The sequence below is a fragment of the Homo sapiens genome, chromosome 5, assembly GCF_000001405.40.
Source record: "Homo sapiens chromosome 5, GRCh38.p14 Primary Assembly".
NCBI lineage: Eukaryota > Metazoa > Chordata > Mammalia > Primates > Hominidae > Homo > Homo sapiens.
In genome coordinates, this window is record NC_000005.10 from 16,882,244 (window position 1) to 16,900,598 (window position 18,355).

General features: G+C 45.4%; 1 protein-coding gene across 2 annotated transcripts in view, besides 2 other annotated features; it reads right to left on the reverse strand.

Moving 5' to 3' along the window:
- Positions 1-18,355, reverse strand: part of MYO10 (myosin X) — a 274,382-nt gene that overhangs the window by 220,337 nt on the left and 35,690 nt on the right. The window lies entirely within an intron of this gene.
- Positions 14,581-14,750: an enhancer, noted in NCBI's record as "experimental_83741 CRE fragment used in MPRA reporter constructs". NCBI's record gives its function as "activates a minimal promoter by MPRAs in K562 erythroleukemia cells, with activity observed for the introgressed 5:16897018 variant allele {active_cell/tissue: K562}" and the evidence as "EXISTENCE:reporter gene assay evidence [ECO:0000049][PMID:34662402]".
- Positions 15,200-16,060: an enhancer, noted in NCBI's record as "H3K27ac hESC enhancer chr5:16897552-16898412 (GRCh37/hg19 assembly coordinates)". NCBI's record gives its function as "activates a minimal SCP1, AML or CMV promoter by ChIP-STARR-seq in naive and primed H9 embryonic stem cells {active_cell/tissue: H9 hESC(naive and primed)}" and the evidence as "EXISTENCE:reporter gene assay evidence [ECO:0000049][PMID:30033119]".

Here is an 18,355-nt window from a genome sequence, read left to right on the forward strand (position 1 = left end):
ACAATGATTTCCTGGATATAATAAAAGGGGCTGACTTTATCAAATGTTGGTGAGGATGTAGAGAAACTGAGAATGTAAAATGGTACATCTGCTTTGGAAAATGGTTTGGCAATTTCTTAAAAAGCTAAACATAATCTTATCATATATGTCCCAACAATTTAACTCCTAGTTGTTTACTCAAAAAAAAATTTTTTTAAGTCTTGTGTGCAAATATTCATAGCAGCAATATTCTTACCAGCAAAAATACTGGAAACAATTCAAAGGTCTAGTAACTGGTATAGAGATACTCAGAATAAATCCATACAATGAGACTCCTCAGTTATTTAAATTAAAAAAAAAAATCACTGATACATTCACCAACAAAGATGGACCATACACATCATGGTAAGTGAAAGAAGCCAGATACAAAAGGCTACATATTGTGTGGTTCCGTTTATATGAAGTTTCTGGAAAAGGCAAATCCATAGACACAGACAATAGATGAATGGCTACCCAGAGCTGGGTGCGGGAGGGACAGTGACTGAGTGAAAAAGGTGGAAATCTGTCCTAACACTGCCCTGTGGTGATGGCTGCACAATTATATACATGTGCTGAAAATCATTCTACTGGGCACCTATAATGGGTGAATTTCTCTCTATGGAATTATAACTCAATAATATCAAATCATTTTTATTTATTTATTTTTTTTTTGAGACGGAGTCTCACTCTGTCACCCAGGCTGGAATGCAGTAGTGCAATCTCGGCTCACTGCAAGCTCTGCCTCCCAGGTTCACGCCATTCTCCTGCCTCAGCCTCCTGAGTAGCTGGGACTACAGGTGCCCACCACCACGCCTGGCTAATTTTTTGTATTTTTAGTAGAGACGAGGTTTCACCGTGTTAGCCAGGATGGTCTTGATCTCCTGACCTTGTGATCCACCCGCCTCGGCCTCCCAAAGTGCTGGGATTACAGGTGTGAGCCACCGCGCCCGGCCATCATTTTTAAAAAATTGTTTTCCCAGCCTACGTATTTCTCAAATGCACATGAACATTCTTAACCATTCCAGAGTAGGAAAGCCCAATCACATTTCTGTAACTGAGCAACAGAGGTGTTGAGAAACATATCAAAACCACCACAACCCCATAATGATGAAATTCAAGGGCCATGTTGAATTCATTAAGTCTCTGCTCTCCAGTAACATAGACTAGAGGGGCTAACAGACCACGCAGGAGACTTGCCCAAGCTAATCTAAGGATGAGGTTGTGATGGATTGTACCATGGTGTCATTGTGGACAATTATCCCCTTCCCTGGAAGAAAATCATAAAACCCTGGCCAACGGCCTCCTGCTTGGTGATACCTCCCCATCTGGCCCATTCATCACCTATTATCTATGACTCCTTCCCACTCCAATGGCAAAGTGAAGCTGCTGCACAAGGCCTAAAATATTGACACACAAAGTTGCTGACCTCTGCTTTAAGATAAAGAGGATAGTATCACCATCACAAATTTTAACCTCCTGTTGCCCTTTTAAAAACTATTACATTTCTCTTCTGATTTCAAAAATGATTTTCTTTCCTGAACTCTGATTGAAAAAATAAGTTTAAAAATAAGTTAGAGAAACAACCCTAAAAAGAGATGACAGTGGACTTTAAATACCATTCTGTACAGCATGTTCTAATTACAGGTTCACGAAAAAGAGAACATTCTTTAGCCAAACATACAACTTAGTCTCAGCCCCGGAACAGGGCACTGTGCCTGCTCATCTCCCACAGCTGTTTCTCTCGCCTATGTTAAGTACCTCAGTTCAGGATTCTCTGGCCACCTACATGACAAACTCAAAATTTGCTCTTGAAATGTGATCTGCTTTTTCCTTTTTAAAGATGCAGAGGGCTGGCACAGTGCCTCATGCCTGTAATCCCAGCACTCTGGGAGACCGAGGCAGGCGGATTACCCGAGCCCAAAAGTTTGAGACCAGCCTGGGCATCCTGGAGAGACCCTGTCTCTTATTTTAAAAATGCAAAAAATAAGCCAGGCGTGGTGGTGCATGCCTGTGGTCTCAGCTACTTGGGAGGCTGAGGTGGGAGGATCACCTGAGGCTGGGAAGTAAAGGGTACTGTGAGCCATGATTGCACCACCTCACTCCAGCCTGGGAGACTCTGTCTCCAAAAAATAAAAATAAAAAATAAAAAGACACAGAGGTCAAATAACTTTGTAATGCATAAGATAAATTAATATGGCTATTTAAATCTGCAGTAAATTCAACAGCCAAAAGAAAGTTTTCCTCTTTTTGCCTGCAATGACTCAGTGAAGAAGTCACCTGGTTTAGGAGATCTCTAATGTAGGGCCTAGGGAGTGGGGATATTGGTTCTTGATGAACTGCAGAAACGGGTTGTGAGCACCAAGGACTTAAGCAGCACTTTTTCTCCTGTTTTCGTCTTTTTTTTTTTTTCCTTCTGTTGGAAGTAGGAGTTATCTTTCCAACTTACCAGATGCTTTTTTTTTCTGATTCTTATTACTCAAAGACACATCAAAGCACACGTGGCTTTTATAACATGAAGTTGTAATACAAGTTTCTCCACCTCGGTGCTATTGACATTGTGGACTAGATGATTCTTTGTTGGGGACTGCAGGATCATTCTAGTTGAGAATCACTATTCTAGAGTAATACAGTGTTCTAGAGCCATGGCCAAACTGAAGGTGTTTACAAAACCATTCACTGTCAGTGACCTAGTTAATTGAAAGCAGACTCTGTTGTCTAAATCCCATGAACTTCAAAAATCCCAACAGATAAAGTATCGCTGGGGCAGACCTAATTTCTGGTATCATTAAAACCGGGTACACAGAGAATAGAGAAAGCAGCCTCTGCAGTCTAATTCAAATCCTTTGACAAACATAAGGAAAAGAGGAGCAGAGGCCGACAGGTGGGCAGTGGTGCTAGAAGAACACTCTTCCTCCTCTCTGTCCACTCTGCTTTTTTTTTTTTTTAAGGGAGAGCCGACTTTTAATGCAGATTATTGGAACCATGCAGACACAGCCTGTCCACTGTGCTCTTTAACCTCAGATGCTGTCTCAACTCCCAAATGCTTGCAAACCCCAGTGCAAAGCTTGTCAGAAAACTTAGCCATGTGCAGATAAGAATGGAGAGAAGAGCAAAGCAAGGTGCTCATCGGCCGGGCACAGTGGCTCATGCCTGTAATCCCTGCACTTTGGGAGGCCAAGGCAGGCGGATCACCTGAGGTCAGGAGTTCAAGACCAGCCTGGCCAACATGATGAAACTCCGTCTCTACTAAAAATGCAAAAAATTAGCTGGGCGCAGTGGTGGGTGCCTGTAATCCCAGCTACTTGGGAGGCTGGGCAGGAGAATCACTTGAACCCGGAGGACAGAGGTTGCAGTGAGCCAAGATCATACCACTGCACTCCAGCCCAGGCAACAGGGCAAGACTCTGTCTCAACAAAAACAACAAAAAAAAACGGCGGGGGTTGGGGGGTGGTGGCATCATCACAGGTATAAAATGAGTATGACAAATGCAGCGCTAACGCGAGCCACAAGGATGAGGGAGCACTGTGAGCTGGGGCACAACCCTAAGATTCAGAAATGAAGGGGAAGGTGAAATCTAAGACTTCTCCCCTGCAGAGACAGCCACCCTCAGCAGGGGACCTGAAGTGGTAGCAGCCAGTCCCCAAGCATCCCTGGACACCCAGGCATCCCCCATAGCAGTCGGTGGCCTTCATAGGTCCTTGCCATAGAGTACTCAAACAGAGTAGGGCACCCACGACAGCTAAATGAGTCCCTCTGACTCAATTCCTTGTCTTGAGACTACAGGGTTTTAAACCCGAAGCTGGCAATCATTTCTGAAGAACTGCATCCAATTCTACAGAGGAAAGCTTCAGTTCAGCCACGGCCATGTAGGCCCTGAAAGGAACACAGGCGGTTTTTAGGCTCAGGTCAAAGGATGCGGAGCTGAAGGAGATGGCAAGTCAAAGCTCCACCCTGACCAACTACAGAGGAAGGAAAAGTAATAAAGTGAGTCTCAAGAGAGAAACTTGGTGAGCACATAGTTGATAAAGTTGGAAATGTGTGGTTTGAGAGTCCCGAGTTTGTAATATTTTTCTTTGGGCTGGAGAACAATTATAGACGTTTGTTCTCTATATAGGCAACCGCAAGAACAACTGTCCCGTGCCCATCAGAGAGCTAATCCCAGGGGAAAATGTGTTCCTGACATTGTGCTTCAGAATTCCGACATAATTTCTTCTCAAAGGCGCTGCCAGAAGTGTTGGGTAACTCCCCAGACTGGCCTATTGCTGAAATGCTCTACATTTTTTGAAGGAATATATTTCAGCTATTTATAGCTTTCAGCTACATCATCATCGTCATCATCATTTCTCAAGCTTGCCTATGGGCTAAAAGATCATTTGTAACACTACTGCGGCTGGGCACAGTGGCTCCTGACTGTAATCCCAGCACTCTGGGAGGCTGAGGAAGGCGGATCACTTGAGATCAGGAGTTTGACACCATCCTGGTCAACATGGTGAAACCCCGCCTCTACTAAAAATACCAAAATTAGCTGGATGTGGTGGCACGGGCTTGTAATCTCAGCTACTTGGGAGTCTGAAGCATGAGAATCGCTTGAACCAGGGAGGCAGAGGTTCCAGTGAGCCAAGATCGTGCCACTGCACTCCAGCATGGGTGCCAGAGCGAGACTCCATCTCCAAAAAAAAAAAAAAAAACAAAGCAAAAACAAAAAAACACTATTGCCACTGAAGACCACAGTGTTCCAAATACTAATAAACACACCTAAAAAAAACACAGTAGGGTTGTAAACTGAGGCCTGCCTGTGCTCATTACCATAAAGTTCACAGACCAATTTGTCCCATGTTTTTGGTCCTTCCCAGCTCTCTAGTGCACCGGATGGGAAGGATCGAATAGCACCCACATTCCTTCCCCTTATCCTGCCCACAGTGTCAAACTCTGTCACCACTAGGAATAGCAGCTTTCATCCAGAGGATAACATGAAAAGTTTACGATAGTAAGAGGTGGAGAGGAAAAGAAAGCGGTAAAAGGTATCACCAACAATACACTAATCTTTGGTCAATGTTCCAAAGGAAAAGATACAAAGATTCACCGCCATCCCACACTTCCAATCAAAATCAAAACCAAAATGAACTATGCTAAATGGCAGGATGCCTCAATTATAAATGTGTGATTCTGTAAAGAGTTTATTCCCATAGTTATGGGTTCCAACTTGCCAACTGATTGAGTCCTGAGTTTTATTATTATTATTATTTTTAGATGGAGTCTAGCTCCGCCGCCCAGGCTGGAATGCAGTGGCATGATCTCGGCTTACTGAAATCTCTGCCTTCTGGGTTCAAGTGATTCTCCTACCTCAGCCTCCCAAGTAGCTGGGGCTACAGGTGCGCACCACCACACTGGGCTAATTTTTGTATTTTTAGTAGAGACTGGGTTTCACCATGTTGGCCAGGCTGGTATCAAACGACTGACCTCAGGTGATCCACCCACCTCAGCCTCCCAAAGTGCTGGGATTACAGACGTGAGCCACCATGTCTGGCCTCAGTCCTGAGTTTTATAATCTGATTTCCCCCACCTTCCTCACAATTCCTTAAAACACCTTTTCAGTTAATCTTTTAAACTACAGTGACCAGAAATAGTCCCAGAAACAATTTTTAACACTAAAAGAAATGAGACATCTCCAAATTGCTGAGAGTACCTCAAACATTGTAGGAATGTGACGATACAACAAATAAAAGTCAAATTTTTCCATCTATTAGTTAACCATCATTATGTAGCCAACACATATATGTTTATTAGAAAGTGGACCTAAAGAATCAGCCAACATGCCTAAAATAATTCATCCATCTGTAAATCGTTCCACCCACTCACCCATTCTTCCATCCCTCATACTTCCACAAGTCCATCCTTCCACCAAATATCTCCTAACACCCCCTCCCCAATCATATACCAGGCACTAGGAAAGAGTGGACGGCATGTAAAATAATTCTAGCTCTAGGCTGGGCATAGTGACTCACACCTGTAATCTCAACACTTTGGGAGTCCAAGGTGGGAGGATTACTTGAGCCTCAGAGTTCAAGACCACCCTAGGCAAGATGGTGAGACTTCATCTCTACAACATTTTTTTTAATTAAAAAATTACTCAAGACCAGCCTGACAAACATGGAGAAACCCCATCTCTACTAAAAATACAAAATTAGCTGGGTGTGGTGGTGCATGCCTGTAATCCCAGCTACTCAGGAGGCTGAGGCAGGAGAACTACTTGAACCCAGGAGGGAGAGGTTGTGGTGAGCCGAAATTGCGCCACTGCACTCCAGCCTGAACAACAAGAGCGAGACTCCGTCTCAAAAGGAAAAAAAAAATAGCCAGAGATACTCCCATAGTTGGGAGGCTAAGGCAGGAGGATCCCTTGAGCCCAGATGTTCGAGGATACAGTGAGCTCTGATCGTGCTACTGCACTCCAGCCTGAACAAGATAAGCCAAGACCCCCATCTCTTAAAAAAAAAAAGTAAAATTTGAATTAAATAAAATAGTTCTGGCTCTAAAAAGCACAGAGGTAAACTATGCCCACTCTAATGCCCTTCCTATCTGTTCTCTCTGTTCCATAGGGAATAATTACATAATATAAACAATAGGCCAGGCCAGGCAATGGTGACTCATGCCTGGAATCCCAGCACTTTTGAGAGGCTGAGGTGGGAGGATCGTTTGAGCTCAGAAGTTTGAGACTAGCCTGGGCAATATGGCAAAACCCTGTTTCTGCAAAAAACATAAAAATTAGCTGGGCATGGTGGCACATGCCTGTAGTCCCAACTACTCAGCAGGCTGAGGTGGGAGGATGGCTTAAGCCCAAGAGGCGGAGGTTGCAGTGAGGTGTGATTGTGCCTCTGCACTCCAGCCTGGGTGACAGGGCAAGACCCTGCCTCAAAATTTAAAAAAATTTAAAAAAAAAAAAAAAAAATCAGCCTGGCCAACATGGTGAAACCCCATCTCTATTAAAAATACAAAAATTAGCTAAGCATGGTGGTGGGTGCCTGTAATCCCAGGCAGTCGGGAGGCTGAGGCAGGAGAATTGCTTGAACCCAGGAGGCGGAGGTTGCGGTGAGCCGAGATCACGCCACTATACTCCAGCCTGGGCAACACAGCAAGACTCCATCAAGAAAGACAGAAAGACTGACAGAAAGAAGGAAGGAAAGGAAAGGAAAGAAGGAAGGGGAAGGGAAGAAAAGAAAGAAGGAAGGAAGGAAGGAAGGAAGGAAGGAAGGAAGGAAGGAAGGAAGGAAGGAAGGGCGGACGAAAGGAAGGAAAGGAAGGAAAGAAAGAAAGAAAACAGCAGAACAAGCCAAGAAAGACAAGTAAGTAAATGGAGCTAGGAGACACAGATTTTATAAAATGTATAAAACTGTCCCACTAAGAACTCTCAAAAACTAGTGGGAAATCCTGTTTTTAAAGCACACAAAACAAAACAGCTGGTTTAAGAACTGCATTCCACTCCTCTTGGTGGAAGCAGTAGGAGGTACAGGACAGAAAGGGCAATAAAAGACCAGCACAAGATGTTTGCACTCTGCGTGAAATCTGATACCAGACATCCTTACCTCCCATTTCCCAGTTTATTGTCCTTTCCTCCTCTTGATAAGAATCATTTTTGTGGGGAGAGGGGGAGAGAAATGCCTACAAATAAACAAACTGATAAGATTTTCTTAATGGAATCCCAGTTGTGTTCTGGCTACCATCTGTTTTCAGAAAAAATACACAAGTATGCTCAGAACAGGAGTTTGTTGTTACTTCATAAAAATGAACGACCCAAGAACACAGTGGGAAGAAAATAAACTTAAAACAGCCATTTGTCATTTCTGTTTCATACATATTAATTAATTCCTTTGCAGATTTCTATCACATATCGAAAACAAATTTTTTTTCACAAAATCATACTTCCTGGATTAAAAGGTACATAAAAGATAACCTAGTCCAATCAAAATGACACATAATGTGTTGGCAAGAATGTGGAGAAACTAGAACCCTCGTGCACTGCTGCTAAGAATGTGAAATGATGCAGCTGCTGTGGAAAACAGTTTGGCAGTTCCTCAAAAAGTAAAATATAGAGTTAACCATATGACCCAGAAATTCCACTGCTAGGTAAATACCCCAGAGACGTGAAAACATATGTCCACACGAAAACTTGTACACAAATGTTCATAGCAGCATTATGTGCAATAGCCTGAAAGCAGAAACAACCCTCATGTTCATCAACTAGTGAATGGATTTTTTTTTAATGTGGTCTATTCATACAATGGAATATTATTCAACTATAAGGTTGACGTGGTGGCTCACGCTTGTAATCCCAGAACTTTGGGAGGCCGGGGCAGGCAGATCACCTGAGGTCAGGAGTTCGAGACCAGCCTGGCCAACACGGAGAAACCCTATCTCCACTAAAAATACAAAAATTAGCCAGGTGTGGTGGCACATGCCTGTAACCCCAGCTACTCTGGAGGCTGAGACAGGAGAATCACTTGAACCCGAGAAGCAGAGGTTGCAGGGAGCCAAGATCATGCCACTGCATTCCAGCCTGGGCGGCAGAGCAAGACTCTGTCTCAAAAAATAAAATAAAATAAAAATGAACAGAGAACTGATACATGCTATAACATGGATGAGCCTAGAAAACACTATGCTAAGTAGAAGAAGGCAGTCACAAAGGACCACATGTTGTATGACTCCATTTATATGAAGAAGTTAAATCCATAGAGACAGAAAGTTGGTCAGGCACGGTGGCTCACATCTGTAATCCCAGTACTTTGGGAGGCCGATACAGGCGGATCACATGAGGTCAGGTGTTAGAGACCGGCCTGACTAACGTGGTGAAACCCAGTCTCCACTAAAACATAACATTAGAAAATTAGCCAGGCGCGGTAGCAGGTGCCTGTAATCCCAGCTACTTGAGGCTGAGGCAGGAGAATTGCTTGAACTCTTGAACTCAGGAGGCAGAGGTTGCAGGAAGTCAAGATTGTGCCATTGCACTCCAGCCTGGATGACAGAGTGAGACTCCGTCTTGAAAGAGAGAGAAAAGGAGAAGAGAAAAGGAAGGAAGGAAGGAAGGAAGGAAGGAAGGAAGGAAGGAAGGAAGGAAGGAAGGAAGGAGAGAGAGAGGAAGGAGGAAGGAGGGGCAGGCGGAGGGGAGAGGAGAAAAGAAAGCTCACTGGTGGTTGCCCGGGGCTGGGAGGAGGGGAGAATGGAGAGTGGCTGCTAACAGGTACGGAGTTTTGTGGGGGGTTTTCTGGAGTAGGAAAATGTGATAAAATTAGATAGTGATGATGGTTGTACAATCTTGTGAAGATACTAAAAACCACTGAATTATATACTTTAAATGGGTGAATGTCATGATGTGTGAATTATATCACAAATTAAAAGAGACAGGGAGGGAGAGACAACTATGCAGACAAATAGGTAGACTCACACCTGACCTCATTCACTCCCTGGAATCCGTTATCCCAACCACCATCTTCATTCTTGACCCTCCTTATTACATATGCAAGAAGGTCCTCTTTTCAGTTTGCACTAGTTTTTGTGGAGTTTCCATTATTTGCAAGTAAAGGAATATCAGCTCTCATTTTCATCACACACAAATGTTACAGGTTTCAGAAAACATCTAGAAAGCAGTTCACAAGCGAGACCTGTACAAATGTCTCTAATTTTTATATACTTTCTCTAGAACACCAAAACAAGTTATTTCAGTGCTTTGACTAGTATTTACATCATATTTATATCATTTGTATTATGGGAGGCAGAAATGGATTTTACTTGCTGTGGAATCCTCAGCACCTAGAACAGGGCCAGACTTATTGCTCCGTTGAATGGTAAATGCATCTACAGAAACCATGCTACCAAGAGAGAGAGGCAGGGCTGCTGGAAGGTTTCAGTATGAGGTTACAGAAATGGCACTGGGTGCTCCCCTAGAAGACAGGGACTCAAGCTCCAGCTCTTCTACCCATAGCTCAGCACAGTTATTCATTACTTGAGATCTCTCTGCACAAAATGAGTTGACACCTAGCTTATCTGATACATAACACAAAAAGATCACATGAGACGGCTAACCAAAATGCTTCAAGCCATGGGGTTGCCGGGCACGGTGGCTCACGACTGTAATCCCAGCATTGTGGGAGGCTAAGGAAGGCAGGTCACTTGAACTCAGGAGTTCAGGATCAGCCTGGGCAACATGGTGAGACCCCCGTCACTACAAAAAAATTCAAAAATTAGCTGGGCATGGTGGCATGCGCCTATAGTCCAAGCTACTTGGAAGGTTGAGGTGAGAGAGTCTCCTGAACCAAGGAGGCGGAAGTTACAGTGAGCCAAGACTGCGCCACTGCACTCCAGCCTGGGTGACAGAGCGAGAGCCTATCTCAAACACAAACAAACAAACAAAAGATGCCATAGGTCTTCAACCCAACAAAGCAGTACCTGTATTTGGGGTCTTGCTGCTGGCACCTTACTGGGTCACATCCAGATGGCTTTCAGCCCTCATATTGCTTTAATTTAACTCTCCTCTCAAGGCCTTGCTACAGAACCAAAGAATGCACAGGCCTCGTTCAACCAACGCACCACAGTTTCTCCAAACCAACAACATTACCAGCCCAGCTACTTTCCAGACACAAAACATTGAAAAAGAACTTACAGGCCAGGCACGGTGGCTCACACCTGTAATCCCACCACTTTGGGAGGCCGAGGCGGGCAGATCACGAGGTCAGGAGATCAAGACCATCCTGGCTAACACGGTGAAGCCCCATCTCTACTAAAAATACAAAAAAAATTAGCCGGGCGTGGTGGCGGGCGCCTGTAGTCCCAGCTACTCGGGAGGCTGAGGCAGGAGAATGGCTTGAACCTGGGAGGCGGAGTTTGCAGTGAGCCGAGATTGCGCCACTGCACTCCAGCCTGGGTGACACAGTGAGACTCTGTCTCAAAAAAAAAAAAAAAAAAAGAACTTACAATTACAAGCTACCCCCAACAGAAAAGCGATAAGGAGGCTGAAGAGGATGAGAAACATTTAAATGACATAAATGCCTCTTTGGTCCTCTTGACACTAAGATTTTGTCTATAGAAAATTATTTCTCTCCTGCTGGGCACCATGGCTCACGCCTGTAATCCCAGCACTTTTGAGAGGCTGAGCAGGCAGATCACCTGAGATCAGGAGTTTGAGACCAGCCTGGCCAACATGGCAAGACTCCATCTCTACTAAGAATACAAAAATTAGCCAGGTGTGGTGGTGCATGCCTGTAGTCCCAGCTACTCAGCAGGCTGAGGTGGGAGAATCGCTTGAACTCGGGAGGCAGAGGTTGCGGTGAGCTGAGATCGTGCCACCACACTCCAGCCTGGGTGAGGGAGTGAGACTCTGTCTCAAAAAAAAAAAAAAAAAAAGAAAATTATTTCCCTCCTACAGCAAAATTCATTTTCATTTCTCTCCATATTACACCTCCTGTTGGGTTCAACAGAGACTTTGGAACAGACTACACTGCTAAAAACATAAATAAATAAATAAATAAGTGGGGGCAGCACTTCTGATGGCCCTGTGACTAGCCCTAGTTATATCCCTCCGTCACTGTTACGTGCTGAAATTGGAGGGGACTCTTCTCCGAGGACACAGCCTCTCCCCAGCAGTGGGTGGGCACCAGGCAGCGAGGAGTGAGGGTACCCAGAGTGTGTGACAAGCCAGCCAGGCAGTGGAGTGCAGTGGGCTTAGTGGTGGCATTGTCATTAAGTTGTTAAGTAAACTTTTCATTTTAGAATAGTTTTAGATTTTCCAGACAAGTTGCAAAGATAATACAGGGAGTCCCTGTACACCTCTCACTCTGGTTCCTGTTCTTATATCTTACATAATGTGGACATTTATCACACTAAGGAACCGACACTGGCACCTTACCATGAACTCAATGCCACACTTCATTCAGAGTTCTCCAGTTTCCACCTAATGTCCTTTTTCCGTCCCAGGACCCCTTCTGGGACATTGGATGTAATCGTCATGCTCCTTCTTTGATAGCCTTGACGGTTTTGAGAAATGCTGGTCAGGTATTCTGTGAAACATCCCTCCTCTGTGGGCTGTCTGAAGTTTTTTTTCCTGGCTAGACCGAAGGATAGTGGTTTTTGATAATGGCTCTATCCAGGGGGCCAAACCGCCTGGACAGGAACCCTGGCTTTACCACATCTTAGCCATGTGGCCTTGGACAAATGAACCTCCACGGGCCTTCATTTCCTCATCGAATGTAGAGGAAAAGCAAATACAATCTACCTCCCAGGAACTGTGGGGATTAAAGAGGCTAACTCTGAGAAAGAAGGTGAGTGGATAATCAGAAATGCTTCATGGAAAGCAGAGGTGGCCACTGACGCATTTAACAACACAGATACTGTGCCAGAGATCCAGCGCAAAGATTAGTAAGGGACACGCCTCATTCCCAGATGCCTGCAGTCCAATGGGGATGAAGTGCAAACAGATCATTGAAACTTGACACCAGGAGGACTAATGTGGGGATACACAGAGGACTGGAGCCTGCGGTGTTGGAGGGGAAGCCAGACTGCTGAGGGATGAATAGGAGAAGCCCCCACGGAGTAGAGGGAGGAAGCCCCATGTTGAAAGGTCCAATTTTCTGCAAATTAGCCAAGTGCCAGTGTAGACTAAGACACACTGTAAATTGGCTTATGCAGCGCTACTTAATCACCCTCCATAAACTATTAACAGCTCTACACAATGAAACAATGAAGACATTCACCTTTGTCCAGCACAAGAAAAAACAGTCTCAGACTAACCCGCCAAGCTCTACAAACCACTAAGGACTAAAATCACCTCCACCCTTACCAATAAAATGTGGGCAAAATTACTGTTTTACAATGCAGTATACTCTTTTCAAATTATGTTTTAAAAGAACCACACAGTAGACAAGTCATTTTGAAGGATCCATTTTTAATTCTTTCTCAGTTTGAAAGGCCTTCAGTCACTCAAAATTTGGAAATTCCCAAGATCTCCCTCAGGGGAATCAAGGGGTGGGACAAAGCAGTGGCAGGGGGGCTGCAGTGAAGACCCTGCTGCAGTGAATGGAGAATGGGCCGAGCCCAGGAGGCTGACGTCTGAGGTCTGTCCATCAAATACAGCCATGTCCTGGTGAGGCAGCTCACCGGAGGCTCTGAGGCCCGAAGCCAAGGAAGGAAAGTTCCTCCTAGTTCCTACTGGCTCCTCATCAGCTTCTCCACTACCCCTGGATGACACGCCCCATCTAGACCAGAACAAAGGCCCTCTGCTTCCCCTATCTCGTTCCCAGGAAGCCTCTCACCTCCTGAGGACCAATGGTAAGAACACCCAACAGGCTCAACCCAACAAGAGCTCCTTCCCCAGCAGGACACTGAGACACCCAAAGGAATTTCCTAGGGGTGGATTCCAGCATCCCCATCCATCCATCTCCCTCCCACCCCATCCATCCTTCCCAAATACTCTGGCCATGATGTAAGCCGCCCCCTCCCCAACACCACAACACACACACACACACACACACACACACACACACACACACACACACACACTCTGCCACCTGGTAAAAAGCCAAACTCCTGGCTAGAAGCAAGGACATGCGTGCAATAAACTTGCAAAACCCCCAGTGGTAAAGCCTTAATGCAAGGGGGGCCCTGCCGCACAGCAGGGCGGGGGCAGGGAGGAGCAGGGCAGGAGCTCCCCTGGGAAGCCAGCATGCTGCTCCTCAACCGGACTGCAGACGACAGCCCCAGCTCCTGCCCTCTCCGCCTCAACACTCCTGGCCTCGCTTCTGCTCTCTGAAAAATGGAGTCCTTCTCTCCTTCTTAAGCCTCATGGAAGGAAGGAAACTACAAGCAGAGTAATCTCAGGACTCAGAAGGCACAATCAGCAGTAGCCAGGCAAGCTCCCAATAAGCTCTCAGGTGTTTAGGTGATATGGCTCAAGCCTGTAATCCCAGCAGTTTGGGAGGCAGGGGTGGGAGGATTGCTTAAACCCAGGAATTCAAGACCAGCCTGGACAATACTGTGAGACCTTATCTCTATATTTAAAGAAATGGTCTTGGCCAGGCACGGTGGCTCATGCCTGTAATCCCAGCACTTTGGGAGGCCTAGGTGGGTGGATCAACGGAGGTCAGGAGTTGGAGACCAGCCTGGCCAACACGGTGAAACCCTGTCTCTACTAAAAATACAAAAATTAGCTGGGCATGGTAGCACATGCCTGTAATCACACCTACACAGGAGGCTGAGGCAGAACTGCTTGAACCCAGGAGGCAGAGGCTGCAGTGAGCCGAGATCGTGCCACTGCGCTCCAGCCTGGGCAACAAAGCAAGGCTCCATCTCAAAAAAAAGAAAAGAAAAAGGAAAGAAATGGTCTAGAAAGGAGGCTCTCACCCCTGTCTTTACAGCAGAATCAGACAGTACCCAGGCACCAATCCAGCTGTGCAGAAGTGGAATGACAGGAGCTGGATCTTAGCAGCCCCCCCAGGATTCTGGGGTGCAGTGGGGTGGCAGGGCACTCCTGCACTGAGCCAGTGCTCCAGAGGGTGAGGTCAGGGCCTTCTGGGTGGTTACCAAAAACACAAGGGTGCCTTCCCCACCTCTTGTCTGTGGATTCATCAATTCGGTGATTCTCAAACCTGGTCTGCCTCCAAAACAATCTTGCATTAGCTCCGAACAAAGGAAGGAAGGAAGGGAGAAGGGAGAGAGAGAGAAGGAAAAGAAAGGAGAGAGGGAGGACGGGAAGGCAGAAGGAAGAAGGCAGGCAGGCAGGAAGGAAGGAAAGAAGGAAATCATATAAATTTTCTGTCAAGGAAACAACGCATTGCTCCTGAGTAATCTACTACAAAATGCTGGTATATACACCTCTGTGGCTATGATTTATTCCAATAATTAATGCTCACTGCAATTCAAGTATTTGTTTTGAAACTGTTTAGTTGAAAGACCAGTCATTTTAAAAGATACCATTTAAAAATTATTTTAGAAGTTCCCACAGAAGTATACATAACAAAACTGGCTTGCTAAGTAAATATCGCCTGAAATTTACACTTCGTAAAAAAAAAAAAAAAAAGTCCTTTATCAGCATGATTCAGAAACTCTGCAACGCCACCACAGATACTCCAATAAAATACCACAGCATCCTAGTCCAAGACATCCAAGACCTATGCAAAGACGTACGCCCTACTGGTGTTTGAAACAAGCATCCCTAGATGAACCCACGTAAAAATCTGTGTTGAAGTGCATACCTTGGCTTTTCAAAGGGCAATAAATCTTCCTTGCAGACTTCTACAGAATGCAGATGTGCTGCTCTCTCTCACCAACACCAGCAAACTGGAAGGCCTCCTGAGTCCCACGGTCTAAACTCTTTGTTCTCTGTGCAAATGCCACAGAGGTTTGTCAACAGACAATGAAAATCTAGTGCAACATCCACTTATCTCCACGGCCTCCATTTACAGGCTACCCTGACAGCTCTCCCTGCGGGTGTGCCGTCATGGGCTACAAGATCTAGCGTGATTGTAGGGGGGCAGAGCCAAAAGGGTTGAAACCCCTCCAAGAGGTTTGTTTAAAATGCAAGAGTATCCTAGAAAAAGTAGCAACAGCAAACAATGCCTAAGTGGCTAGCAGAATTCAGAACCATTCTCGCCAACCAACTGCTTTTGAGCATTTCAAGAGTGTTACTCAAACTCTGCGGACCCTAATCATCTCAAGAACCCCTTGAACTCTTTTGTTCTAAGAAAGAGCTGGTCTGCAGGCCTGCGTGCCCTCTTGCTGTCATCAACCCCAGGCTGGGAGATAAGCACTGCTGGCAGGTAGGAGGGTCCCAGCAGCTGGACCAAGTATGGACAGTTCTACTTGGGGAAAAGCAGCGAGAATGACCACAAGCAGCTCACAGGGCCCCAGGGATAAAGCTTTCGGGAGCCCCCAGGTCAGCGTCTTTCAACCAGAGTTGCTGGGCAGAAATAAGGCAAGCCACATATGTAATTTTAAATTTTCTAATAATCACATTAAAAAAAACTACAAAGAAACAGGTAAGATTACTTTTAATATTCTGTTTTTTAACCCAGAGATCCAAAGTATTACCGTTTCAAAATGTCATCATAAAAAAACACATCAATGAGCTAACTGGCATTCTTTTTTCCATACCCATTCTCAAATTTCTTTCTCTTTTTTTTTTTTTTTTGAGACAGAGTTTCACTCTTATTGCCCAGGCTGGAGTGCAGTGGCGTGATCTCAGTTCACTGCAACCTCCGCCTCCAGGGTTCAAGCGATTCTCCTGCCTCAGCATCCCGAATAGATGGGATTACAGGGGCCCGCCACACCCGGTTAATTTTGTATCTTTAGTAGAAACGGGGTTTCACCATGTTGGCCAGGCTGGTCTCGAACTCCTGACCTCAGGTGATCCACCCACCTCAGCCTCTCAAAGTGCTGGGATTACAGGTGTGAGCCACCATGCCTGGCCCCATTGTCAAATTCTGATGTGTGTTGCATGTTCCCTGCACATCTCAACTTGGAACAGCCATATTTCAAGTGCCCAAATATCACAAAGTCATAGTGGCTAAAGCACTGGACAGACCAGTTCTAGATGCTAAAATCTAGAGATGTAATTCAGTAGGCAAAAGTACATGGTGGCTCACGTCTGTAATCCCAGCACTTTGGGAGGCTGAGGCGGGCAGATCACCTGAGCCTGGCCACCTGGCCAACATGGTGAAACCCCGTCTCTACTAAAAATACAAAAATTAGCTGGGCATGGCGGTGGGTGCCTGTAATCCCAGCTACTTGGGAGGCTGAGGCAGGAGAATCACTTGCGCCCGGGAGGCAGAGGTTGCAGTGAGCCGAGATCATGCCGCTGCACTCCAGCCTGGGTGACAGAACCAGACTCTGTCTCAAAAAAAAAAAAAAAAAAAGTGCTAGCGTGTGAGCAAAGATAACAGACACAAATGCAATGTTTTCATTATGTTTGCTTTTCCTCATTTTAGGAAACAATGTACAAAATTCCCCAGTGACAACCAACCTGCCTCATCCTAATCTACTTTACTTCAACATTCACCTGAGGAGACAAGCAGAAAAATATTTTTCCCTACTTCTGAAATAATAAAAGAATGTGGCTGGGCGCGATGACTCACGCCTGTAATCCCGGCACTTCGGGAGGTGGAGGCGGGCAGATCACCTGAGGTCAGAAGTTCGAGACCAGCTTGCCCAACATGGTGAAACCCCCGTCTCTACTAAACATACAAAAAATTAGCAGAGCGTTGTGGCGTGTGCCTGTAATCCCAGCTACTCAGGAGGCTAAGGCAGGAGAATCGCGTGAACCTGGGAGGCAGAGCTTAAGCCGAGATCATGCCACAGCAGGCCTGGGCAACAAGAGCAAAACTCAGTTTCAAAAAAAAAAAAAACAAAAAACAATGTGATAAATCAGAATTGCTACAAGAATGTAAATTGTACAGGTCCAGTGTATAAAATAATTTAAGCCAGGTGCAGTGGCTCTCGCCTGTAATCCCAGCACTCTGGGAGGTCGAGGCAGGTGGATCACCTGATGTCAAGAGTTCAGGGCCAACCTGGCCAACATGGTGAAACCCCAACTCTACTAAAAATACAAAAATTAGCCAAGAGAGGTGGTGGGTGCCTGTAATCCCAGCTACTTGGGAGGCTGAGGCAGGAGAATTGCTTGAACCCAGGAGGCAGAGGTTGCAGTGAGCAGAGATCGCAGCACTGCGCTCCAGCCTGGGCAACACAGCAAGATGCTGTCTCAAAAAAAAAAAAAAAAAAAAAAAAAAAGATTTAAACAGCTCTGGGAAACTTAGTATAAAAATTGCCCTGTGATATCTTTCATCAAGAGAAGGAGGAAAAACACATCTGTTTCCTAAAGTACAAAACTCACAGCAATTTCAACAGCAATGTTTTCTAAATTCTTGAACACTGAATTGCACAGGTCGGTTCCTTATTTAAGTTATTGGTCGTTCAGAGTTAAGACAAATAAAACTAGACAATTAATTATATGCCAAATAGCAGAAAAATATGTGCTTTCACCTAAAAACTGCCCTCTCTGCCTCCCAACCATGCTCAGATAATTTCAACATGATCATGGAAAGAGAGGAGTTTTGCAGATGTAGAAACAGCGGTCTAAGGCAAATGTGTTTTTAATTAGAGTTTGCAGGGGCTACAGGTTAGACACTGTAGTGTGCCTGAACAGAGAAAAAAACTACCCTGGAACCTAGAATGTGACAGGTCTGAAGACTGACTGCAGAAAAACGTGTAAATTCCCACCACCTCCCAGCAGGGAGGTGAGCAGCTTTCAAGAGGCAAATTAGCTTTTCAAAAGACGGGGGACCGATCCATCCGGTGACAATTG